At 40.8% G+C, this 27,824-nt stretch overlaps 1 protein-coding gene across 17 annotated transcripts in view, besides 1 other annotated feature; it reads left to right on the top strand.

Moving 5' to 3' along the window:
• Positions 5,012-5,131: a silencer, noted in NCBI's record as "silent region_16487". NCBI's record gives its function as "represses an Ori minimal core promoter by ATAC-STARR-seq in GM12878 lymphoblastoid cells {active_cell/tissue: GM12878}" and the evidence as "EXISTENCE:reporter gene assay evidence [ECO:0000049][PMID:35858748]".
• The window catches only part of PRELID2 (PRELI domain containing 2), a 606,358-nt gene continuing 583,856 nt past the window's right edge, over positions 5,323-27,824 (top strand). For 10 of the 17 annotated variants that reach the window (XM_047416832.1, XM_047416828.1, XM_017009133.2 and 7 more), the window contains exons 1-5: positions 5,323-5,488; positions 17,531-17,588; positions 20,647-20,720; positions 21,251-21,286; positions 22,611-22,771. In XM_047416832.1, coding sequence (XP_047272788.1) covers positions 5,414-5,488; positions 17,531-17,588; positions 20,647-20,720; positions 21,251-21,286; positions 22,611-22,771 — 404 coding nt within the window. In that variant the 5' untranslated portion in view covers positions 5,323-5,413. Of the gene's footprint in view, positions 5,489-14,464; positions 14,668-17,530; positions 17,589-20,646; positions 20,721-21,250; positions 21,287-22,610; positions 22,772-27,824 lie in introns of all 17 variants that reach the window. The other 7 variants (XR_007058586.1, XM_047416830.1, XM_047416829.1 and 4 more) reach the window with 2 other exon arrangements.

The following is a 27,824-nucleotide window of genomic DNA, read 5'->3' as shown; positions in this document are numbered from 1 at the left end:
TCTGACTGACCCACTTCAAGATGGGCTTCCCATGATCCTCTCTTTGGATTCAGTTAATTTACTAGAGCAGCTCATAGAACTCAGGGAAACACTTACTTCCATTTACCAGTTTATTATAAAGGATAGTACAAAGGATGTAGCTGAAGAGATGCATAGGGCAAGGTATAGGGGAAGAGGCATGGAGCTTCCATGCCCTCCCTGGATGCACCATCCTCCAGGAATCTCCATATGTTTGGCTAGCTGGGAGCTCTCTGAACCCTGTTCTTTTGGGTCTCTTAGCAAGACTCCATTGGATAGACATGATTGAAGATAACCAGGTAGAAATACGATTAGGCAAAAAAGGATATGATATAATACTAACAGACTGAGTCAGGAAACCTAGTAAGGCCCGCCTGTCTAGATTCTTCTTGGCCTTCCTGTGCAGCATTTCTTCCTGCAGGGTATGGGGTGGGACACTCTCTGGAATGAGAAATCAATCAGAAAAGCCAGGAAAGATTAGAGTCCTGCCTTGGGCAGGTGAAGGGAAGTCAGAAGAAGGTCGGAGAGAGAAAAGCCTGCTTCTGAGGCCTAAAGTGTCCCAATACTATAGCAAAAGACTGTAGCAAGGGCTATGGGAGTTATCAGCCAGGAACCATGAATCTATATTTATACGTGGAGGAGTGGAGTTTAGTGAGGAGTGGGAGTTGGGGAGGAAATTTTACATATATATATGTAAAATATCATACCTCTTAATTGGTCTCTTTCTTTGCTTTGCCTCCCCATAGTCACTTCTCCAAACTGTAAGTAGCCAGAATGATTCTGTTAAAATATACAGTTGAGATCATGTCTCTCCTCTGCTCAAAACTCTCAATGGCCTCCCATCTCATACAGATAAAGCCAACATCTTTACCATGGCCTGGAGGACCCTATGTGACCTAGATTCATGTTTTCTGACCTTATATCTCAGGAACTCTGCAACAGCCATACTGGCCTCCTTGTAGCTCTGAAATGTATCAGGAGAATGCCTGTTTCAGGTCTTGGAACCTGCCATTCCTTCTACGTGGAATGATCCTCCTCCAAATACGAGCATGACTTGCCCTCCTCTTCTTGCAACTTTTCTACTTTAATGTCATTTTCTCAGAGAGGTCTTCCTTAGCTCTTTTAAAAAATTTTAACACTGCTCCTCTCTCCCCTGCCCTGCCATCACTTCTCATCCTTCTTCTCCAGTTTTTGTCTCCTTAGTACCCACGCTTACTTATCATACATGATATTTTACATATTTGAATCTATTCTGATACTTTGCTTTGTTTTCCTTGCAAATTCTCATTCTGTACCCTGGTTTCAATAACTATATCCCTGTTCCCTGCCTTGGCTTGTGTCTCTAGCTCACATCTCAAATGTCAGGTTGCTGGATTTTAGAGACAGTCTTGGCCCACTCAGTTTCTGCCCCTGCATTTCAGTTTTTGTTGACGGAAAAACTGAGCTGCAGGGGCAGGAAGGATTTTGTTCAAGGTCATATTTTATATTAAGTACATTCGTGAGTTTATTCAACATATACTAGGTGCCAAGCATTTTACTAGGCACTGGATAGAGAGGAGTGAATAATATATGCAGTTCCTCCAGTCTTGAGAATGTCACAGTAACAGTGATTTATATATACAGATAATTATAAGACTGGATACAAAAAATCAGTGATAGAGAGATGGTCAGGATGGTCAGAAGAGGGAATTGAACCAACATGAAGAAGGTGAGAAAAGCAGAGAGACAGGGTCAGGGCTGGAGTTCTGTGTCACTTAAATCTTGCAGCATTTACAATCATTCATTCATTCATTCATTCAACCTAAATGTATTGGATGTCTACCATGTTTAAACTATTGTGCCTCCCTGTGAAGATACAAAAGGTATTTGATATCTTATGAAAGTTCTTTAGTAAGATATTTGGTATCTTAAAGACCAAATAAGGTCATGAACTTCTAAGGTTTGCCAGCAAATTTCCACCCTCAAGTCCCTGCCCAGTTAAGCCAACCAATTTCAAAGCGATGGAAATTTGTTTCACAGTTTCTTCTCGCTCCCTCAGAGGACCCAGCAAGTAAGATTACTGTTGTGCAAACTGGCTGTGATTCAGAGCTACAAGATAATAGGCTCATGTTGTCAAGTCTGGCACACGTTTCAGAAAGCCCCAACGTCCTTGGAATGGGCAGGTCACATTTGTTCTTACACAAGTCACTCAGCCAACCAGCCCCAAGTAGAGGTTGCAGGTGGTGGGGCCTTTAATCTTTCAGGACACACCATTGGCCTTTCATGGTTACTTAATCCGGAGATTAAGTCCTGCTTAAAGATACACTCTGGGAGAAACTGATGGTCAGAGTGGATTGAGGATACAGGGCCCAGGACCTACGCTAGCAGGGGGTTTGTATGTCACATCTGGTCTCCAGCTACTCTGGTAAAAGAGGCAGATACAAAATACCATAAACTCTGCAGGTAATTGATCTCTCCTTTGTGGACCTGTGTAGTCTCCCTGGAAGACTGCTTTTTGTTTTCCTGTAAGGAGGGATTGGTGATATAGTGGAGTGGCTTTTAAACATGCATCCAACACATGTAAGAGCATTTGCATCTCATTCTCCTCTCCACTCCTCCCTCTGTATTTCAAGGAAATGCTGCTTACAGGCTTAGTAAGGTGGGGATTAAGAATTAATTATTGGATTTAGCAATTTGGTCATTGGTGACCTTGACAACAGTCGTTTCGGTGAAGTGGTGGGGGCAAATACTGATTGGAATGGGCTCAAGAGATTACAGGCAGCTCTTTTGAGGAGCATCAGTGGACCAGAGACTCGGAATACAGCTGGAGGAAGATAGGGGGTTAAGAGTTGTTTTTTTTGTATTGTTTCTGTTTTTGTTTTTAGATGGAAGAAATTACAGTGTACTTGTTGTGCTGGCTGGAATGGCCCAGTAGAGACAAAAGCTGATGATACAGAAAGGAAGGGGGATATTGCTAGAGAGATGGCCTTGAACAAGAAAGAGGACAGGAACTTTTAGTGATGTACTAGAGCTGGCCATTCAACACAGCTATTATTAAAGTATATAAATTTACAATCACATATAAAAATTAATAAATATTTATTTATTTGAGATGGGTCTCACTCTGTGGCCCAGGCTGGAGTGCATGGCACGATCATAGTTCACTACAGCCTTGAACTTCCGGATTTAATAGAGCCTCTGGCCTTAGCCTCTCAAGTAGCTAGGACTACAGGTGTGCACTGCCACACCTGGCTAATTTTTTATTTTATTTTTTGTAGAGATGGGGTTTCACTATGTTGCCTACACTGGCCTCAAACTCTTGGCCTCAAGTGATCCTTCTGCCTTGGCCTCCCAAAGTGCTGAGGTTACAGGCATGAACCATAGGAGCCTGGCCAAAGAGTAATAAACATTGAAAACTCATCCCTTCCTGCTACATTTTCCATTATTTATGTTTTTGGTTCTTTATGGCTGTCGTATGTGGGTGGTGGAAATACTATGTGATGGTGTGCTTCTGTGCTTCCCTCCCCAACTCCCACTCCTCACTCAACTCCATGTTGCTAAATCCCCAACTTGTGTTTAGTGACATCGAGTTGGCATCTTTAAACATGGTAGGAGTATTTACACCACAGGAATCAGCAACCTTTGGAAATCAGGGCCTTGCTTGATTTATACTTTAAAGGACAGCTATTTGTTAAACATTTTTCAGTTCACCTCAGGATTCAGTGGACAAATGGAGACACTGGTGCTAAAACAAAGTGCTGACAGTTCACCCACAGGAACAAGAGTGAAGGCAAGGCATTTGGTCTGGTGGGTAGAGAGGTGGCAGAGCGATGTGACCTATTGACTAAGTGAAAATGGAAGTAAGGTAATGACTGGAGTATAAGGCTGGGAACAAAGGTGTCAGAGGTGTGGAGGAATGCGGGAGAGTAAGTGGATTAGAGAAATTCAGTACTCTCTTTTTTTTTTTTTTTTGAGATGGAGTCTTGCTCTTGTCGCCTAGGCTGGAGTGCAATGGGCGAGCTCTGCTCACTGCAACCTCCGTCTCCCGGGTTCAAGCGATTCTCCTGCCTCAGCCTCCGGAGTAGCTGGGACTACAGGCGCCCGCCATCACGCCTGGCTAATTTTTGTATTTTTAGTAGGGACAGGGTTTCACCATGTTGGCCAGGCTGGTCTGGAACTCCGGACCTCAGGCGATCCGCCCACCTTGGCCTCCCAAAGTGCTGGGATTACAGGCGTGAGTCACCGCACCCAGCCAGAAATACAGTACTTTCATAGTGTATTTGTCTGGCACCATTAAAAGGCGCCATAGGGTTAGTGGTTATGAACTTAAAAGATGCACAGTGGGTGTGTATTTTCCTTCAGCCCCTTCTGGTGGCTTGGGTAGAGACAGTCAGAGGAGACCTAGATTTACACAAGGCTAGGGTTTTGCCAGACCAGTGTGACTGCGTATGGCAGGGGCGAGCGAGATGGCAAAATCGTAAAAGTCATCACCTCAGAGACCCTCCATAATCACCCTCACTAAAATCATGTCCGCGCCCGTGTCACTTTAACCGATTATTGTTTTTATTTTCCCAGCTTGTTGATTGGGTGTGAAATCAGCCGGCTCATCAGCAGAGCTGGTGTTTCCTCCCTGCGGAATCCGCAGTGCCCACTACAGCGCTGGGGCATAGGAGGCCTCAGAACCGTGCTGAATACACGGATTAACGTGCTGGTTCTCCTAACATCTGTTGGTTGCAGTAAATAATAATACTCGCAACTCTTTTGTATCCTCTAGTTCCTTGCTCCGTGGTGTTTAACCTTAGCGAGCAAAGGAACTTACCTGCAGGTTTTGGTGCACTAAAACGCGGTTCTTATTCCCGAGGCAATCTTTACCTTACACGAGGCCCAAACCCAAGCCTCAGAGGCAGCTGCCTGGTGGCATGAGTAATGCTGGCCTTTGTCACACCAGGCCTTCCTTATTAATACTTTTTTCCCGTGCTGCCAACCACGGCTTATTCTGTGACTCCAGGCGGTGATACCATAAACGCATAAGCCCAAGGTCCAGGTTTCCTGGGGCGGGGCGTGATGGCTCCCAGGCAGAGAAGCTTTTCTCGGCAGGCGCGGCCGCGGGAGGGCACCAGGGCCGCTCTGGCGCCGCCAGCGTGGAGACCGCGGGGCCCCGGGTGCTCTGGGAGCGCTCCAGCGCCTCCCGCGCTCTGTAACCCCAGGCCCCGGACTCTGGCAGTAGGGGCGTGGGCGTGGCCGACTGCGCGTTTCTCCGAGTGGCCAATAAAGTTTCGAAAGTTTGAAAAGCGGAGGAAAAAGGCCACGCCCATGTGGCTGTCCGAGTGTGGGCGCCTCCGGGCCTCTGCGGAGCCCTGGGCAGCTCTGAGCTCGCGGAGGCGTGGCCGGTGCGCGGGGCCCGCGGCGCGCGGGGATGGGGGTCTCGGTGGATGTGCACCAGGTGTACAAGTACCCCTTCGAGCAGGTGGTCGCCAGCTTTCTCCGAAAGGTACCGCCCCGCTTCCACCTTCCGTATCCCGCGCTGCCTCCGCTGCTTGCCCCTCTCTCCTCTCCTTCATCCACGCGGAAGCTGGCACCGCCAGTGTCTCTTTCCAGCTGCGGGCTTTGCTTCAGGGATGTGTGGGTCGAGAGGGATTTCCTCGAAGACTCCCTTTACAGGGAGCGGGAAAAGGGGCCGTGCTTGGCATCACGTTCACACCTGCCCCAGCTGAAAGAAGAGGCTTTCCTTTTAGGAAGAGCCTCCGGGAATCCCAGCTCGTGAGCTCCGTGGAGTTGCAGATGACCGACGTGTGGAGCTTTCCGGTTCATCACTGACCCCTTAAAAGCGAGGGGAGGCCATTGGGCAGTCATCCTGGTTTACTCAGCATGATGGTTCTGCTGCCCCATCCGCTGCTCCTTATTAAACAGCTGTGGGACATCGTGCAGGTTGCTTACTCTCTTTGTGCCTTAGTTTGCTAATCTGTAAAATGGGGAAAATAATAGTACCGACTCATAGAGTTGTTGTGAGGATCCAAATGAGGTAACTTGTGTAAAGTGCTTAGCACAGTTGTGACCTAAATGAAGAAACTGAGGCAAAATCAATATAAAAAGAGAGTTCATTCGAGCCAAGTTTGAGGGCTGCATCCTGGGAGTGAAGGTGCCCTGAGTATACATTCTGATGAGCAGAAGTCGAAAGTGGGTTTTTAAAGGAGAATAAGAAGCACTTCCTAAGTTGTTTACCAAGAATTTATATTAAAATAACATAAACTATTGATTGTCTGTACATTGTTCTTTGTATCACAAATTCCAGGAACTTGAAGATAATGGGTAAGGCAGCTGGTCAGGAACAAAATGCCTTTAACCAGTTGCTCCCAGGAATGGGTTGGGTGAGGAGGGGACCACTAAAGTCCTATACTCTTGTCTCTCTGGGCTTGATTGATTTTGCATATTTCACTGTAACTCACACAATCTGCTCTGAGCTATTTTTCTTTTTCTCACTGCTACTGATGTTTAGTTAGGGCTCTAAAATGTTATTGTTGTTTGTATTACTACAACCGATTTCAATACAGATAATGAACTCTTCCTCAATACTGAGGAGCCCTGAATCCCAAAGACTGTTTCTAGGATTGTGGGTCCTGATAATAGGAAAATGGGAAATGTCTTTGAAAAATCGAAAGCGCCCAGGCCTGGGAGGCAGGACTCCTGGACTCTGATCTGGTTCTATGCGTGGTTAGTTCTCTGGGTGACCTTGGCTGAGGGTCTTTTCTCTAGGCCTTAGTTTCCACATCTATAAGATGAAGGGGTTGTACCAGATGATCTTTGAAGGTCCCCTTCGGTTTTCATAAGCAAAATTTGCAACAGTTGCAATTTGCCTTGGTTAGCAGCCACGGGACATTGAACTCCATATGCAACCCGGAAGCCAAACTAAGGGAGATGCTGGGAAGATGAAGGTCATTTGTTAAACGATAAGGTGTAGCCTCCGTTAGAGGAGGTGACACGGTGGCCCTGGTCACAGAGGAGTGAGGAGGACACTGGTTAACACTTTGTTGCTATAGGGGGCCTCTTTAGAAGGAATGTCAGCTTGCTGATATGTTCGTTGATTTTCAGTATCTAGACTAGTGCCTAGCACCTACTAGGTATTTAATAAAAACCTGAGCAATGAATAAATGAATGAAAGAATGATTTACAGACCTGTTGTAGACTTTGCCTTAGGCCAGGCTTCTGGGCCCAAAAAGTAACAGCCAACACCCAATTTTTTTGTTAGAACTGGCACTTTGGAGTCTGGGTACCCTTAAGCCACTGCTCCTTTGTAAAGTCTTTTTGGATTGTCATCATCAAGAGTCAGTTGATCTCCACCTTCTCAGAACTCACAGGGCACTCTGTCTAGGCGTTGCTGACCGTCTGCAGTGTCAGATGGTGACTTCTGTATGTGTTGTGTTTCCCGTTAGACTCTAAGGTTTTTAAAGGTGAGACTCACTCCTGCAGAAGCACATAACACAATGCCAAACTCTTATTTACGGAGGTCCTGGCGCATTGTCAGCTTTTGGTAAATGCTTTTCTTTTGTTGAATACTTATCTTCTGTGTGCCAAGCTTTGTGTTAAGTGCTAGAAAAATGTGGGAGGTCACCGCAGACCCTGTTCTCATGGAACTGATGGTGTGTAGTGGGGAGATTAACATAAATAAATGATGCGCAAATGAACACAAAATTCAAATTGATGATGTGTACTTATGAAAGGAAAATACATGGTGCTTGAATATAGCAGGGAGGCCTGCTGAAGTCAGAGAGGGTGATCTTTAGGAAAGGCTTTCCTGAAGAAGTGGCACTGGTGAAATGATGGCTGAAGCATGAATAGAAGTTTCCTAGGAAGGCTGGGTGTGTGGTGTGTGGTGTGGTGTGTGTGGTGTGGTGTGGTGTGTGTATGTGCGCTCATGTGTGCTTTCCATACTTTATCATGTTTACTGCTGCCAGCACCCTCAGGAAGTAGTTATGATTAATTTCCATTTTACAATATAGAGAAACTGAGGACCAGAGAAGTCCAAGTGCCTTCCTCAAGTTCCCACAGCTAGCAGGTAGGACAGCCAGGATTTTAACACATGGATCCGAAACTCACAGCCTTAGCCACCCGGCTGTGCTGCATTGCATATAATAGGCACTTCAACGATTATTGAGGTAATACAGGGTTTCAGAATCAACTTTGCCGGCTGGGCACGGCAGCTCACTCCTGTAATCCCAGCACTTTGGGAGGCCGAGGCGGGCGGATCACTTGAGGTCAGGAGTTCAAGACCAGCCTGGCTAACATGGTGAAATACCATCTCTACCAAAAATACAAAAAATTAGCCAGGTGTGGTGCCCTATGCCTGTAATCCCAGCTACTCGGGAGGCTAAGATGAGAATCACTTGAACCCAAGAGATGGAGGTTGCAGTGAGCTGAGATCATGCCATTGCACTCCAGCCTGGGTGACAGAGCAAGACTTCATCTCAAAAACAAAAACAAACAAAAAAACCCAAAAAACTTGGCTGTGCTCAATGTGTTTTCTTTTGTTCACAGTCTTCTCTCAGGGTTTGCTCAGCTAAGTGGACCTGTTGACCCTGATATAAAGATATAACTTTGATGTGTGTTAGGGTGAGAACACAGAATGTTTAAGTTATCTATTGGTATGTAACAAACCACTCCAAAACGTAGCGACTTAAACCAATGACAGGCTTTTAATTTTCACAATTCTGTGAGTTGACTAAACTCATGTGGTTGATTTTTGTGTGCTGTGTGGTATAGCTGAGGTCACTTATGTAGCTGTATTCAGTTAGAACCTGTTGTAATTCTTATAAAATATTTAGCAAAGTACCTGGTACATAGTGAATAAGTACTATGAAAAGGCAGAACTGGGAAGGGCAGAACTGGGAAACAGAACTGGGGATGTCAGAACTGGGAAATGGAAGGCAGAACTGGGGAAATGAGAGACAAACATTTGGAGACTAAAGGTCTAGTGATGGGACAGTGTTAACATCATGCATGTCACTGTACTTCCTTTCTTTCTATTCATTCATAAAGGAATCCTTCAGAGATTCCTTGGGAGGAACTATGTGACTATTTCTAAGATGTCAGTAAACCCATTTGCTGGGTGAATTTTCCCCTTATGTTATTCAAAGCCATGAACTGGTAGTCAGTAGACCTGGATCTTGATCATTATGCTTTCACTGTTAGGTTGGGTGGCCATGGGAAACAATTTTCACCATCCTATACTGTGTCCTTGTGCAAATTAGAAAAGGCATCTTTTAGGGGTCCACTCCATAAGCTCACAGTTCATAGGGCTAGGGGAAAGCAAATGAGACTATTTATGCAAATTAGAAAAAGTTACTCCTTCCTTTAGGTGGATGCAGTCCTGTGCCCACAGGCCCACTTGACCAGGAGCCCTTGTGCAGTCAGCAGCATCACAACTGTGTAAGCCCTAGTTTCTCCTCTGTGAAAATGGTAATGCCACCTACCCCACCTACCTTCCAGGGTTGTTGTGAGGATGTCACATGTGTTAACAGTTTGAAAAGCATAAGCTTTTTTATAAGCCTAAGGTAGTAAGAATTATCTTTTTGGCAAAATACACTTTTATTTTTCTTTCAGTCTTTATGATTTTTTTTTCAAAGGAAAGCACTTGGCAGAAGCGACAATCATATGAGGATCACTGGGAAGCATTTAATCTGATTTTGCACAATGGTATGTTTGAAGCTGCTTTAGCACTGAGGAAGTTCTATTTTAAATCAGATCTACTGATCTATGGCTTTTGGTTTGTTAGGAGTTGCCTTCCAAGTTATAATATACTACGGTTTTTAAAACCTGAAGAATGTTTGCTCTTCTTACATCTGCCTGTTGAATACCACAGGCAAAATATTAGCTGCATGCTTTCAAAGCTAAGTGACACTGTGAAAACAAACAATATGATACTCTTTGTTCCTAAAATACAATATTTCTCAATAAACTCTTCATGGAGGAATGTTATGAAACCCAAAATAGTTTATTCATTGGATGCTGAACTGTATGTACTTTCCAAGAACTATAGTGTCAATGCACTTGACAGTGTATTTTGGTTTCTTTCTTTGTGTGATTCTTAGCTTTCTAGCTCTTATCACTTACCACTGTTTCCTTCCTTTTACTTAAAATCATCTACAAAGAGAACACAAAGTTGCATAGATGAATGTAGCAGTGTAGAAAGTGGGTCTTCTCTGGAATCTCACTTAGACCTTTTTAATGGGCTTGCCTTTCATGAGCTGGATTCAGAGAACTTCTTAAATTTCATCTGCCTGAAATTTAAACTCATTAAAAAGGATCCAGAGAGCTATTATATTGACTGGATTTTCTTGTTTATATCTAAATGAGGCCAGAGAAGTAAAGATTTTTCTTACCTTCAGAAGGTTGACTTTCTTTTTATGCTGTGGTCAAAGGAGTCATAGTGAATAGAATATCACCTTCATAGGTGGTGATTTTTGTCATTTGTTTCTGATGTATCCCAATTACCCAAAGAGATCCTGGAACATAGTAGGTACTCAGCAAATCCTTGCTGAATGAATGAATGAACTGACTCTTTTGGGGATTAGCCCTGTGCAATTTTAGATTGAAGTCAGTATGGGATTCAGAAACATGTCCTTACTTTGGATACTGTAATAAAATGGACAGATTAAAATATTGATAATTTCTTTGCTTTGACAGAATGACCCTGGGTGTTATTTATTTTGGCTGGGAGCCTGGTGTGCTGAACAAAATGGTTTGAATGTTTACTCTTAAGCTCATAAAGGGGATTTATGAAGGGCTATTTCCATTTAGAGTAGAAAGTTGATTGGGTAATTAATAATGTTTCCATTTCTGATCCTATCTTTTCTCCCTTGCAAATCTGACACTTACATGTTATCTTTTGTCACATGCTGTACTAGTCTTTCTTCACTTTTGTCTTCCTGTCCTCAGTTCCACTAGAAGATTAGGCATGATGTAAAGGAGAATGGTGCAGATGTGCAGAATGTGGGCTCTGACATTGGATGGGGTGGGGAAGACAGGGATGGAGCGCTGTTAGCCCTGTGAGCTTGGACAGGTCAGTTCATTTTTCTGTGCCTCGATTTCCTCATCTGCAAAATGAGAATAATAATCACTGTCTTCTGGAGTTGTTGGAGAAATTAAATTGGATAATGCTTACAGTTATATGTAATATACCTAGCTTAATTTCAGCACACAGCAGGCTCCTTTAAAGTACTTGTTGAATAATGATAACAACAACAATAATTTGTTGCATTTATTTCATGAACCTGAAAATAAAAAGCTGAGAGAAGTGGCCTCAGAAATCATTACTAACTTAGAGTAATAAAGGAGAGAGTGAGCATGAATAAAGGTACACATTTGAATTAGGAATATTTTCTAAATGCCATTTGAACAATTGTAAAGTATACTTAGAAACTTATCTAATGGAGATTGTGGCTTAATCAGTGTATAAAAGACAGAAGATATTGGCCAGGCATGGTGGCTCATGCCTATAATCCAAGCACTTTGCAAGGCCTAGTTGGGTTGATCACTTGAGCCTAGGAGTTCAAGACCAGCCTGGGCAACAGGGCAAAAACCCCATCTCTACCACCACCACCACCACCACCACCAACAACAACAAAACCCCAAACCACACAGACACAAAAACAAAAAACCCCCAAAATTAGCCGGGGCATGGTGGCACACACCTGTAGTCCCAGGTACTCGGGAGGCTGAGTTAGGAGGATCGCTTGAGCCGGGAGGCAGAGGTTGCAGTGAGCTGTAATTGCATCACTGCACTCCAGCGTGGATGACAAAGTGAGACCCAGTCTCAAAAAAAAAAAAAAAAAAAAAAAAGATTTTTTTCACTATCTAAGTACATGGACCTGTCTTCAAGGAGTTCACTGTCAAAAGGGACAGAGGAGGATATATTAATTTTCATGATAAAGGCTTTCTTGGGGGCATATGGCAGACATTACATTGTAGTATGGGGCAAGATTTATATTTTAATTATAAATCCATGAAAGCATTTAAACTATTTAGAAACAGTTGTCTTTTTAAAAACAAGTAAATATTCTCTCCAGCACTCTTACTTCTCTGGTGCAGCCCTTTCCCTAATGCTAGTGTGGAGTGAAGTGTCAGGGAGGCCTTGTATCTTACACAAATTCCGAACTGGTAAAGCACGAGCTTCTGAGTTTTTTATTAGTCTAGGAAAATCAGATATATTATCTTCTAATCATTTTAAAATCATTGTGTAAGTATTTTTGGATTGCAGATAGATGCCAGCAATGTATTTAATGCCACACCACAGTAAATTGCAAGATAAAAACCAAAATCTTGAAACTTTTTAAGTCTTCAAAAGTGTTGATTCATTTGTTAGTAGCAAAACCAGCTACATTTATTTTCTACTTGCACAGTGCTAGGTATTATACTGTAATTAAATTGTTTCCTTTAATTCTTATAACAACTCTTTGAGGTAAGTATTTATTCTCATTTTACAGATGAAGAAACTAGGGCAGATTAAAGTGATTTGTCCAAGCTTCTCACAGATAGGATTCCAATTCAGATCTCTTGGGCTCTAAAATTCACTGTTTTCTAACATCGTGTCTTTAATTTTGTTTTTTATTTCTTTTCATTTATAAATAATTTGACTTATAAAACATTTCAAAAACAATATTGCAGAAACAAAGAATTCCCACATACTTTTTTCCAGCTTCCCCAAACCACAGTATACTTTTTAAAACCAGGAAATTAACACTGATACAATGCTATTAACTAACCTATAGACCCTATTTAGATTTTGTCAATTGTCCACTAGTATCGTTTTTCCAGTCTAGCATCCAATTCAGGACCCCACATTGCATTTAGCTGCCAGTGTCCTGCAGTGTAGGACGGTTCCTCAGTCTTTCCTTGCATTTCCGGACCATGGTGATTTTGAAGAGTGCTGGGCAGTTATTTGTAGTGTATCTTTAGCTGCACTGGGTTTATGCATACATTTGATGTTGTGATAAGAGGATTTTCCTCTGTGTTACAATGAAAAACTGTCTTTTCAAAACCTTCACTATGCCGTTGCTGATTATTGGGTCATTTTTGAAAGAAAGAGGCTGATGTGCTGTTGGTTGGCCTTTGTTTGGAACCATAGCTTTTCCTGGCCAGAAGGATCTTGGATGATCACCTGGTGGTTCATCACCCCGACCTCACAGATGGCAGCGTTGTAGTCTGCATGTCTTGGCTCGTTGCCCTTTGTTCTTTCTATTTCATCATCCTATTGAAAGACCAATGAACAGCCATTCCAAATACTTTTCAACTTAAGTACGTTTTGTCCTTGATCATTGAAATTTTGATTAATTTATAACTCGTTTCGTCTTGGTATAAAATCAACTTTGCTTTTCTTCTGAGATAGACTATGGTGTGGAGCTCATAAAAGGAATTTGGCATAGCTCATGGTGATTTCTTTCTGCTGCTAAACACCAAATCTCTTTTCAGCAGCCCCATCTCTTTGCATGTACATGTTTGGCAGCAGCCTAGATAACAGATTCCCTTAATGCTTATAACACGGGTATGTTAATATACCAGACTTACTGTAGGTCTTCTTTGCCTTCTTTGAAGGACTCTTCAGACAGATCTGTCAGTCACCTGCTTCCTTGTACTCTCTCTGGTAACCTCATTTGTAAATTGGTAGACAGTGACTCCTTTGGATGTCACTGACTGTTTCTGAGAGGGGAAGCAAATGTTATTAAAAAAAGGCATTGGCTTTTGAGCTTTTTGGAAAGTTCATATTTTAATAACTCTTTTAAGAGTAGGCTTTCTGAAAGCTTATGGGTTTTTTTTTCCCTCGGCAAATATGAATGCAAAATGTTATATCTTCATGAAGCTTCTCCCAGAAACATATTGAATATTCTGTAATTAGATGGATTCAGTTTCTTGCCTCTAACTTTTTATATATATGTGTTTGCTTTAATGCATATTCCCCCCCAATATTATGGAGTTCTTGGCTTATCTTTTAATATGTAAAAACTAAAGCAAGCAGATACAACAGCTTTAGGCACGTCTACATTTTACCCTTGTTAGACTGTTACATACATATGATATATACAGTGGTATTTGTAGTAGTTTCATGTCTTCGGGAAAGGAAAAGGAGTTAGTTTACACGTTCTGTGAAGAAATTAAAAATTATAAGGAAATGCAAAATGAAGTCAAATATACCTTTAAAAATCCCTTAAATCATCCATAAAGTAGTATAGCATACATGGCATATGTATGCAGCCTGTGGGATCGTTCTCTTGCACACTGCAGTTTGTGATCAGCTAAGCCAGGATCAAGAAAGACAAGGGCTTTTGGCAGATATCTGGGTCTTCAGATCACATTGCTTTCATGAGAGTCTCTAGTATGAAATGGGGATTGAAGAATCCCATGTGAACCTGCTTGTCTGCGGGCTTTACACTATTATATTTATAGCAGAAATACTCTGTATATTAATACTTGATAGGTTTCCACGCTTTGAGAAGGACTGAATGAGATCATGCGCATGGCAGCTTCTCTAGGATAGCACCCTGCGTGAACACAGTAGCTGCTCAGTTAAGTCTTTGATGGGTGTGATCCTGATTCAGCTTGATCAATTCTGCAGTCATACTGGATTGTGTTTGAAAAGGTGTCCAGAAAAACCTGGCCATCTGCCTCCTGTCTTCCCAGGTAAGTGTTCCTGGTATTGACCTCTGAGAAGCCTTCCCTCTTTCAACTTTTTCTCATGGGAGTTTTGGTAAATTTTCATGAATTAAAACATGAATATTCAGGTTACCACAAGATGGCGTCAGATCATTTCAAGTAATGCCAGGTAGGGGGAGCCTCAGTTCAATAAATCTTTAAAGAGGTTGAAATATGTGCCTTTCATAGTATGGTAGTTAGCTATTGCAAATAAACCCCTACTTTCTTCTACTGTTCTTCTATGGAAACTTGAGGCTCTTGGCTGTTCAACTCCAAAAATTATGTAAGTGTGAAGTATTTGAGTTTATAATGTTTAAGAATTTCTCTGATAGCTTAGTGAAGTAATCAGAACTTGAAAAATTTGATCATCATGTCTCCCTGGTGTTTACATTTTCAACGTCTTTTATAGTTTAGTTATCTTTCTACAACTTATGTTGAATTTGTAATATTCAGTCAATATATATTTATGGGTATGTAATGAACAAACTAGAACTGTAGTAAACGAGATAAGCACATTTTACTTTAGTGTACAAGTTATAATTTATACACATATAATCACAATTCAGAGGACCTGTGTGAGTCTCAAATATCTCCCTTGCTTTAGGGGTACTGTGTAAGCGAAAGTCTCCTTTCCTGAGGAGCAGAGTATCTAAACCTGACCCTCTGTCATGGGCATGTAACTCGGAAGGGCTGAACTTCAAGAAAGCAATCACTGTAGTTCCAAGTTTTTTTTTTTTTTTTTTTTTTTTTTTTTTTTTTTGAGACAGAGTCTCACTCTATCACCGAGGCTGGAGTGCAGTGGCATGATCTCGGCTCACTGCAACCTCCGCCTCCCAGGTTCAAGCAATTCTCCTGCCTCAGCATCCTGAGTAGCTGGGACTACAGGCATGCACCACCACATCTGGCTAATTTTTGTATTTTTAGTAGAGACAGGGTTTCACTATTTTGGGCAGGCTGGTCTCAAACTCCTAACCTCAAGTGATCCACCCGCCTCAGCCTCCCAAAGTGCTGGGATTACAGGCATGAACCTCCATGCCCAGCCAAGCATTTTTTTTTCTAGGGCTAAAATGAGTGAATGAATGAATATATAAATAAATAGATTTTTAAAAACCAAGTTTTTCATCAGTTATCAAGATTTCAGTTTCCAGGATGGAAGTGTGAATGACAGAGTTTACCAACATGAAACATGAAGAGATATTGAGGTTGCTGAAAGCTGAGCCACTGCTCTCTTCATAGATTGGTTTCTGACTGAAGGCAGGCTCATTTTCCAAATTGATCCCTGAGGTCATTGAGGTTTATATTCCCAATTTTTTATTTATCCAGAAAATATTGACTGAGTGCTTTTTATGTGCCAGGCATTACGCTGGCTGTTGGAGATACAGGAGTAACTGAAATAGACAGTATTCCTGCCCTCAGAGAGCCTGTGTTCTAATCTAGTGTCTTTTTGGGTCACAGATATCTTTAAGAATGTGTTAAAATGATGAACCCCTTTCCCTGAAAAATCCATTAATAAATCAATATCACACACACACACACACACACACACACACACACACACACGCCTGCTGTGGGTGGAGACCCACAGTCAGAGTTTTGTATTTCACTTCCTAGGGTTCGGAAAACTTAAAGCTCAAGTTTGCAAAGTGAGGGGCCTTTCTTCTTTCTCCCCTCAGCCTGCCTGCTGCTTTTGCCTTCTGCTCAGCACTTTGTGATGTCATGGATAAGACTTCCTGCCAATTTTCTTTTCAGATTTGATCACATGATACGTCGGTAAACCTCAGGGAAGAGAGTCCAAGGGGGCTCAGTAGGCTTTGGTCAGCAGCTACCTTGTCCTGTGGCTTCTAGGAGGTCACTTCTGCTCCCAGTGTCTCTCTTTTCACATCTGAGTAGTGGAAAGGATTGTGTTAATTTAACTCTTAGGTGATTTGGTGGTAGGTTAGGTGGGCAGGCTTTGCAGGCTGGCAGAAAGTATCGGGGGTAAATTATGTTACCCCCCAGATACACTATTCATTAGCTGGACAATTTGAGCAAATTATCTAATTTGTCTAAGCCTTATTTTTCATATATGAAGTGGAAAAAATAACACATACCTTATAGAATGGTTTTGTGAATTAACTGAGCTAATGTATCTAAAGTATTTAAATTGCCTACGACAAAAGCAGTGGCTATTATCAACCTTGTCACAGCCAAATTGCTTTTCAGGGGAATTAAATTAACATGTTAAATATTTATTGAGTATTTACTATGTGCCTAGCAAAGCATACTTCTATGACTATGCTACTGTGATGCTAACCCAGCCACCAGACAATGATATTAGACCACAGTGAAGAGGTCCACTCTGTATTAAACAGGCCTGGTTTAATTCCCTGGCTCCACCAGGAGCCAGCTGGGTGACCCTAAGCAATCCAGTCTTCATTCAGTTTCCGTATCTGAAAGATGGGGATGGTGGTATCACATAAATCAGTTATAACAGAGAGGCTGTTGGATTTAGACAAGATTGTGCAAGGAAAGCATTTAGTACAGTGCCTAGCACAAAGAACACTCTTGATTTATGTTAGGCTGGTTCAATATTAATAGTATTATTATTTACTGATTAGCTTAACCTCATCCCCCTCAGGGCTAGTTGGATCTAAAGAAGGTTTTCCCCAGATTTCATGTAAGTCAAGATGATGATAGCATCTCACTTATCTAGGCCCAAGTTATAAAATTAAGATCCATGATTCAAAACTGGGCTTTGTTTAGAAGTTTCTTGGAAAATATTTACTAGTCCTGCAGACAGCTGTGGTTACTTCTAAATAGTTCACCTTGGTAGAAGATTAATGGTAATTCTTTTTTATATATTTTTGTTTAGTACCCCAACCCCATGGATAAAAATGTCATCTCAGTAAAAATCATGGAGGAAAAAAGAGGTAAGTTCTCTGTACAGTTTTTTCAGTAATGATCATTAAATGATAGTGATTTTTGTAAAGATGTGTGTACGTGTGTGTGTGGCCTATTAGGTTTTTTTTAAAAAATTGTTCACCTGCAGTTTCTTCCATTATTAGTTTTTAAACAGGTATATTTCTGTACTTGAGGTGACTTAGAAAGGTGTGGCAGGTAGAGCACCAGGATTTGTGATAGTAAAAGGCCTGCTGATGCTTTTTGTCACTTTCTAACTAATAATTGATGACAACACTGAGCTATATATAATTGTAACTGCTAACATTTTTGAGCACTTAATATGTGGCAGGTACTCTTATTAATTCATTTAATATTCAGAACAATGTTTGGAATAGGTGTTAGACTACTCATTTAATGAATGGAGAAACTGGGATACAGAGAAGTTAAGTGACTTGCTCAAGGTCACATGGCTGTAGCCTATTATATCATTTTGTAGATGGCAAAATGCATATGATTAAATACGAGATATGACTATAAAGTGATGGCTTATGGAATCACAACTACTAGGCAGTGTGGTTTAGCATTGACTAAATCAGGAGTTGACAAGCTATGGCTTGTGCTGCCTGTTTTAGTAAATAAAGTTTGACTGGAACATAGTCACATTTGTTTACATGTCATCTACGACTGCTTCCTCACTACAACAGCAGAGTTGACCAGTTGCCACAGAGACTTTATTGCCCACAAAACTTAAATTATTTAGCACCTGATTCTTTGCAGAAAATGTTTACTGATTCCTGGTCTAGAGCATAGGAATCTCTTCTGTTCTGTGTTATCCCCATCTCCAGCAAAAACCATTATTAGTGTCAGTGTTTAAACTTGAGAACTGGGCAATGCAGGAAGCTGTGACAATGCACATAGTCAATGTACAAAGCTTTGGGGACACTGGGGCCTAGGTCCAGCATGCTCTTTACCCTTCTTAGGAATCATGAGATGCTACTGTTCATTGTGTGTGACTCTGAAGCCCTCTCTGTGCTTGGTAAACATAACTGCCTTTTGCTTGTATATGCATTTTCTGTAATTCTATAACCATATAGATATATTAAAAATATTTTCTCATGTACCTGCAGTGTGAGAGAAACTTATTATTTGTCATCAGACAAACTGGATTTCAAATCTTGATTTCATTACTACCTTGGTGACCCAACTTTTTGGAGCCTCAGTTTCTTCATCTGTCAAACGGGAAAATAATCTTGTTTTTAGGTTGTTAGGAAGATCAAATGAGAGAACACTGTGCATATTCTAAATTGAAATGTTAATTATAATTTCTGTCATCGTCAGGGGCATCTTTGCCTTTGGGAGTGGCTAATCCATTTCGAGTATGTGTGCAGCAAACACTGGATGAGATGGCCAAAGGGAGGGCCAATGGGCAGAGGGGTTTGCACCCTATCAACAGCTTCTGGGCAGTCAGGGTTTTTGCATCAAGGGTTGGGACTACTATAGCCAGAGCTTTGAGAAAACCTGTAACAGCATGGCTAAGTCACAGTGATTCACAAAGCAGAAGACTGCACTTCAGAATTTATTCTTTTCTCTGCCTCTGCCTTTCTTTTTCTTAACTAACATTGTTTTTTACATCCCTGGCTTAATTCTGGAAACTTCACCGCAGAACAAAATGGTTGCAGTCCTAGTGTTACAGTAGGTAGCTAGTCAGGTATGAGCAGGACAGAAGAGGGCTTACACACACACACACAAACACGAGGGCTTACACACACATACACAGAAGAGGGCTTACACACATACACACACACAGAAGAGAGCTTAAACACACAGAAGAGGGCTTACACACACATACACACAGAAGAGGGCTTACACACACATACACACACACAGAAGAGGACTTACACACACACACACAGAAGAGGACTTACACACACACACACACACACACACACACACCCAGGAGAGTTGGATGACCATCAGGTGACGGTCAGGCGGTTGTTAACTGTCTCTCTAAAGTAATAATTGGTCACAGCTGGCACCAGGCAAAGGCACGCTTCTAATAGATAGAAAATACCTGAAACTGATGATCAGCAGCTTCCTGATAAGATCTCAGGAGTTGGGAGAAGTGATGTAAGACCCCGGATATATGCCAACGTGCGTAAAACCCCAAGTCGAAAGGTCAGACCACACGCCTGCCTTTCAGGTTGCCCGCTTGGCTGTCTTCTAACTGGTACTTTCCTTCCTTTCATTCCCATTCTAAAGGAAGCGGAATAGCTTTTTCCTGTTTAGGAAAGTTTATAAAAAGAACAGGAATAGCCATTTCCTATTCTTTTTAAATAAACTTTCACTCCTGCTCTAAAACTTGTCTTGGTCCCTCCTTCTGCCTTATGCCCCTCAGTCGAATTCCTTCTTCTTCTGAGGAGACCATAATTGAGGTTGCTGCAGAACCGTACAGGTTTGCTGCCGGTAACAATAGGAAGTCTACTCCCTTATGAGAGAGAAATGTGGCTAATATAATTAATTATGGGTTTAAATTTTGCAGCCAGAAATCTGTGCTTGAAAGTTTGGTACAAAAGGTAGCAGCATCAGGTTCTCCCTCTTTTTGTTGAAACATTCTCTTTGGAGTTGAGCAGGAGTCCCACTGGTCATCGTCATTGGAGTACTGACACGGATAGTCCAGAGCAGCGAACGGTTGTGATTCTTTCATCCTTGACATTGGAGTGTGCATTCTGAGTTACTGTTGTACCCTTATTCCTTCATCCCAGATAAGGAATACCTGATTCGGCCCTGAAAAGTGTCAGGGAAACTGAATTTTGAGTTAAACATTTTCTGTAGGAATCTTGCAAATAGAAAATTGATACTGACTTTAAAAGATTCATTGCGGGAGGCTGAGGCAGGAGAATCCCTTGAACCCAGGAGGTAGAAGTTGCAGTGAGCCGAGACCGTGCCATTGCACTCCAGCCTGGGTGTCTCAAAAAAAAAAAACAAAAAACAAAAAACAAAAAAACCCCACCCCCGCAAGATTTATTGACACTAAGAAAAGAACACATTTCTTTAATTTTTTTTTGTGTAAAAAAATTTCTTTTTTAGATGAATCAACAGGGGTCATCTACAGAAAGAGGATTGCAATCTGTCAGAACGTGGTTCCAGAAATTTTAAGGAAGGTAAGTTCATTTTAAAATGTAATCACAGTTGTAACATTGAGTAATTTTTAATAGTCATGAAAAGGAACAGCATTTTCTGATGTAAAGGAGCGTTAGAAACTTCCTACTCCTTTTACCTCAGAACCTTCTGAGGAAGAAAGCTCTTTCTTATCCAACCTCACTTTTAGCAGATGCCACTGGAGATACTTTGTCTCTCTGTCTTGTGAAGAACTCTTAATGGACATAGAGATATTGTGCAGTTACTTTAAAGATACTTTTGGCATTTTGCATGAAGTGACTATCTAATCTGTTCATGATTAGAAATTACTCTTAGGTGAGAATGATCAGAAATGGGAAGAATGTAAATATTTAGTCTCATCTTTAATAAGAAAGAGAAAAACTTCAGTTTCTAATTCACTATCAGAGATAACAGTTATTTCCCAGAGTATAAGGTTCTCCACACCCTCTGTAAGTCTTTATGTGTATTTCTCTAAAGTAATATCATTGATGATGAAATCTTCATGATAGCAAATTGTTTTCTCTCTTTGAAGTCCTTAAGCACTCTGGTGATTCTTTGTTGGAAAAAGGTGAGTGGAAATTTTTAATCACATTGCTTGACCCATAGAGGGATTTTCAGTGGGAGTCCTTTTAGAGCTATGAGGAAGTCAGAGGAAAGCATCTGGATATGCCCTTTAAACAGGTCTCAGAGGGTAGTTTCAACCCAAGAGAGATTCTGTGTGTGATGTTGTGTTACTCCATTCTCAGGCTACTGATAAAGACATACCTGAGACTGAGTAATTTATAAATAAAAAGAGTTTTAATGGACTCACAGTTCCACATGGCTGGGGAGGCCTCATAATCATGGTGGAAGGTGAAGGAGGAGCCCAGATACATGTTACATGGCAGCAGGCAAGAGAGCGTGTGCAGGGGAACTGCCCTTTATAAAACCATCAGATCTGGTGAGACTTATTCACTATCATGGGAACAGCACAGGAAAACCCGCCCCCGTGATTCAGTTACCTCCCACTGAGTCTCTCCCATGACATGTGGGGATTATGGGAGCTACAATTCAAGATGAGATTTGGGAGGGGACACAGCCAAACCATATCAGATGTGGAACCCAGCTTGGCTCCTGCCGATTAGCTTGCAAATTAAATTGCTGTGCTGTATGTGGAACAAATGGCAGCTTCCGTCACTTCCTTATCATGAATTAAAAGACTGTCACATTCTTCAGTGTAATAAAGCTGATATGACAATGAAAATGAACTTTCTTTTATTTTCCAGATGGTAAAACTTGTTGCAGTGTAGCAGCAAATTATTACTGGCTTTTTCCAGAGTGTGTACCCTGCCTTTGCCCTATATACTCACTCTGAATCTATTATTTAAAAAGGCATTCAACTTTGTCTTGTGTCTCAATTCTTAAATAATTTAAGGACACCTCTGACTTGTACAATTCTGCCTTTGTAGTTTTCCATGTCTTCACCTAGGAAACCATACATTTCTAGGTATTGGACAGAGTTTAAAATGAAGAAAATATTTTACCTGATATTGTTCTGCATGTGAGCTTGTAAGTGGGCTCGATTAGAATCCATCAATTTAAGAAGGCCATAACCAGCCTTAGAGGAGACGCGAAGGAGGCTGATAATTTGCTTAGTGTTTAGCAGTTAGGTAAATTAGGCCAGAGACTGTATAGCCTACATAAATCCTGGGTCATTTGCATGTCCTCACCAGCACTTAGTAAGGTCATAGTATGTTTGATTATCAAAAACGTACAGCCACTGGTGAGCCATCATCCATGTATCAGGATTACTTGTCCTCTTGGTTATCCAAGACTGAGAGTAACTCTGGATGCAGTCATTATGTTGCCTGCTCTTCCTAAATTGAAAAAGCCATTTTCTTTCTGTTGGACAGGTGAGCATTTTGAAAGTACCTAATATCCAATTAGAAGAGGAGTCATGGCTCAATCCTCGGGAAAGAAACATGGCCATACGGAGTCACTGCCTTACGTGGACACAGTATGCATCCATGAAGGAAGAGTCTGTCTTCCGGGAAAGTATGGAAAACCCAAATTGGTAAGACTCGTGTGTATATGTGTGTGTGTTTTGGTTGCAGGGATGGACACATGAGTACATACATTAAAAATCTATGGTTCTATACTTATGACCACTGTTTATAACTCATACAAATTCCACATTATTAATTTTTTAATCACAGTAATTAATGAATTTTTTGCAAGGGAGGTCAGGAAATGATAGAGTTCACCTTCTGTCTCACCATCTCCCCCAATCCTGTTGTCTTTTTCACCCTCTTGAGAAGTAGTGAGTGTTATCAGTTTGCTGAATATTCTTCCAGACCTTAAAGAGATACCTTTAGATCCTTATATATATACTCATAGAGCCTGTATAGTATGGTTTTGTATATATTTTAAAACATGTATTGTAAGTTATAAATTAGTTTGTAAATTGTGCACTTCTTTTTTTTTTACTTAATGGAATGTTTCTGAGCTTAAACCATGTGATATATATATATATATATATATATATAAAACTAGCTTATTCCTTTATTGCATATAATTCAATCCTGTGACTATATGACATTTTATGTAGCTACTACTTTTTTGATAGACAGATGGTATCTAAGTTCTTTTTTACAAACAATATTACAACATTTGTGAAGCATATCTTCCTTGTATATGATCCTTTATGTTATATGAGTTGTTTATCTAAAGTATATATATATATATATTTTTTTTTATTTATTTATTTATTTTTTTTTGAAATGCAGTCTTGCTCTGTCACCTAGGCTGGAGTGCAGTGGTGTAATCATGGCTCGGTGCAGCCTCAACCTCCTGGGCTCAAGTGATCCTCCCACCTCAGCCTCCTGAGAAGCAGGGACTACAGGCATGTGCCTCAGGAGATGAAGGTTTCAGGCATGTGTCACCATGCCTTGTTAATTAAAAAATTTGTTTCGTAGATACGGGGTCTCACTATGTTGCCCAGGCTGGTCTCAAACTCCTGGCTCAAGTGATTCTCCTACATCAGCCTCCCAAAGTGCTAGGATTCCAGGCGTGATCCACTGTGCCTGGCCTAGAGTAGAATTTTTTAATATCAGGTTTATTGAGATATTATTTGCATACAATAAAACTTACTTTTCTTAGTGTATAGTTCTTTGAGTTTTGACAAATATATAGTTGTGCCACCACTGCCACAATTAAACTATAGAACATTTTAGATAGATTTAAAACAGTTAATATTACAAGACCAATCAATGGGGAAAGAATATTTCTTTCAACAAATGGTGCTGAGATAACTGGATATCCACATACGAAAGAATGAATTTAGATCCCTACCTCATGTAGAATACAAAATTAACTCAAAATAGATCAAATACCTAAATGAAAGAGTTAAAACTATAAGACACTTAGAAATAAACATGGGTATAAATCTTTGTCATCTTGGGTTAGGTAGTAATTTCTTAGATATGATAGCAAAAATTTAAGCAGCAAAATTAAAAATAGATAAAATTGATGTCATCAATTAGAAACTTTTGTGTTTCAAGGGACACTGTCAAGAAGGTGAAAAACAGGCTGGGCGTGGTGACTCATGCCTGTAATCCTAGCACTTTGGGAGGCCAAGGCGGGGTGATCACTTGAGTCCAGGAGTTTGAGACCACCCTAGTCACATGGCAAAATCCCGTCTCTACTAAAAATACAACAATTAGCCGGGTGTGGTGGTGCATGCCTATGGTTTCAACTATATGGGTGGCTGAGGCACGAGAATAGCTTGAACCCAGGAGACGAAGGTTTCAGTGAGCCGAGATCGCACCATGGCACTCTAGCCTGGGCAACAGAGCGAGACTGTCTCAAAAAAAAAAAAAAAAAAAAAAAAAAGACACACAATAACAAGGATTGGTTGTGGATATGTGGATAAATTAGAACCCTTACATGTTTCTTATGGGAATATAAAATGGTGCAGCTGCTTTGGAGAACAGTTTTTCAGATCCTCAAAAAGTTAAACGTAGAATTACCACTTGACCCAGCAATTTCACTCCTAGATACTACAAGAAAAATGAGAAAATATATGTCCACACAAAAACTTGTACAAAACTTTCATAGCATTATAATAGCCAGAATGTAGAAACAAGCCAATGTCCATCAACTGATAAATATGTAGCCCAATGTAATGTATCCACAAAATGGAATATTATTTAGCTACAAAAAGGAATGGAGTGCTGATTCATGGTTAAACATGGACAAATTTTGAAAATATGCTAAATGAAAGAAGGCAGTTACAAAAGGCCACATATTGTATGGGTCCATTTATTTGAAAAGTCCAGAATGTGTAAATCCATAGTGACAGAATGTAGATTATTGGTTTCCATGGGTTACGGGGAGAGGGGAGTGATGAGTGACTGCCAGTTGGTACGGAGTTTCTTTTTTGGGGTGATGAAAATGTCCTGGAATTAGTGTTGATGGTTGCAGAACTCTGCGAATATACTAAACCTCACTGAATTGTGTACCTTAAAAGGGTGAATTTTATGGTAAGTGAATTATATCTCAATACAGAAAACGATATAGCTGATTCTCAGGACATGCATACTTTTATTAGTTTATATAGTGTTTTAGTTTGCCTGCTATAACAAGAATACCATAGACTGTGTGGTTTACACAGTAAACATTAATTTCTCACAGACCTGGAGGCTGGGAAATCCACCATCTAGGCACTGGCCTTTCCAGTGTCTGGTGAAGGCCATATTTTTGGTTTGCAGATGCTGCCTCCTCATCATTGCCTCACATGGTGGATAGAGTGAGTTCTAGTCTTGGTTTCTTTTTATAAGGACACCAATCCCAAAATGCAGTCTCTAACTCATGACCTCATGAAAACCTAATTACCTCCCAAAGTCTCAGTCTCCTAGTACCATCCCATTGTAGGTTAAAGTTTCAGCACATGAATTGGGGGTGGCAGGGGAGGGCACCGACATGCAGTCGTAACATACAGATTCTGTCACTTTGCCTTCCAATGTGTTAATATGCACATTTTACACTGATCAACAGCGCATGAGCGTGTTCATTCCCTTACAACAGCGTCAGCACTTATTCACATGCTTTTTAACTTTTGCCAGTATAATGGGTGAAAAATGATTAATTTTTTTGAGATACATTTAAAAACAAGTAAAATATAAGCACTAAATGTTAATAGTGATTATTGCTGTGAACTGTGGTTGCTGTGAACTGGATAATTATCTGTTTTTTTTTGTTATTATTCTGTGTGGTTTGAATTTTTTATTATATACTTATCATTTTATGGAAATAGTAAAGCCCTCAAGCCCAAACAACTATAAACCGAAAATTTAAAATCCATTCTTAAGCCCAAACCCTTGTCCAGATCATTACTGCTCTCCATAACTTTGGTCCTGTAGTGATAATTTTAGGATGCTGCAGCAGCCCGCTGAGTGGGTGTGAAGCCATGTCTTATTGGCATCAGAGGTGGGCTTGCTCTGAACCACCCGCTAGTTTTTCTTTCTTAGTCTCTCTCATGATAAGAGTTTCACATAGGGCATAGATGTTTGGGATTAAGTGTAAAGGCTGTGGCCAGAGAATAGAGCTCCTTTCTTTGTATGTAGAAATAGCAAAAGGATGGAATTGGCTGATTTTGTGCAAAAAAATCATTTCATCTACTTCGTGTTAGCCTTAATTTTTGCACATATTTGAGCTATTAGCTAGTCTTAAAAGGTGAACTAAACTTTCATCTGTGATATATAAAATGACAATTAGCTCTGAAAATCCAGGGAGGACATCCTTTAGGAACAATTTTCCTTTGAGTGTTTTTCAAAAATTATTTTAAAATAGTCATTCTGATTCTAGAAACAATAATGCATGTGTCTTGTAAAAAAACCAGTTCTGAGAAAAAAAGGAAAATTAATCATACCTGGAGATATTGTTTGTTTACATGATTTTCTTGGTCTGTTCCTCATTGAAACTTAGGTTGTTTGTTTTTGCTCTTACAAACAGTGTTGTGGTGAAAGTCTCTATGATTACATATTTTCCCACTTATTCTGTTACCATTTAAGGTAGATTGAGCAAAGTGAGATTTCATGGTCAAAGGTTGTATGCATTTTATATTTTGGTACATATGACCAGACTTCTGTATAAGAAGGTTTGACCAGTTAAATTTTTTTTTTTCTTCCTTTGGTTTGTTATGTTCCAGTCCTCTCCAAAACACTGCCTTTTCTATCATTGACACAGCAGGCTAACATTTATTGATGCCTACTATGTCAAGGTCAAAGCTATATCCTTCATGTGTATTCTTTGGAGGCTTAGGTTAAATAACTTGCCCAAGGTGATACAGTCAGTAGATTGCTAAGCCAAGATACGAATGCAGATATTGTAGACTCCACCTTGAGCACAGTGGTGAGGCAGGAATATGAACATTTACAAAGGATGGGTTTATCTTGTTCTGTAGAGTGCTTTGGATCCCAGGTATGAAGAATGGGTTTTGTCCCTTCAGCAACAAGCAGCCACAAAAAGGTTTCTGATTAGGGGTTGATATGCTGAAAGCTGGGATCCACATTCCAGAGAACTTATGTTTCCTTAGCTCTTGACATGGATTTAGAAAGGCATTTAGGCAGACATTCTAAATGAATGGGTAATGGGATGGGGTGGGGGCATCCAAGAAAGATTCATTATTACTTTAATTTCTTCCCTTTGCTAAGGAAATCTGAGAGTAATGGCTAGCCACTGCACCCAGAATAGGGACAAGTTTTTTTAAAGGGAATAAAAAAGCTGTCAGGGCTACTAAGTGTAAAATTAGACTTTCAAGCTGTGTGTTGGTTAGCAGGTGTGGGTGTGTGACTAGAAACCAGATGTCACTCTGTCCCTGTGCATGGCCTGTTGGCTCAATTCAGAGATGGGCTCAGAATAAGTTTCCTTTAGAAACTAAGCCTTGCTCTATGTCCTCTTTACATAGATCTGATTTTGGCTTCCCACTGACATCTCTACAGTCGTGGCATCTTCTTGGGTGAGAGAACTACATTGGGCTTTCCCCCATCTGTACTGTCACACAACTGGATAGCTCTAATATGCTTTCTTCCTTCACTGATTTTATCCGACATTGTCTTCCTGTAGTT

This window comes from Homo sapiens, chromosome 5 (assembly GCF_000001405.40).
Source record: "Homo sapiens chromosome 5, GRCh38.p14 Primary Assembly".
NCBI classification, from domain to species: Eukaryota; Metazoa; Chordata; class Mammalia; order Primates; family Hominidae; genus Homo; species Homo sapiens.
This window is presented reverse-complemented; position numbering and strand designations above follow the sequence as displayed.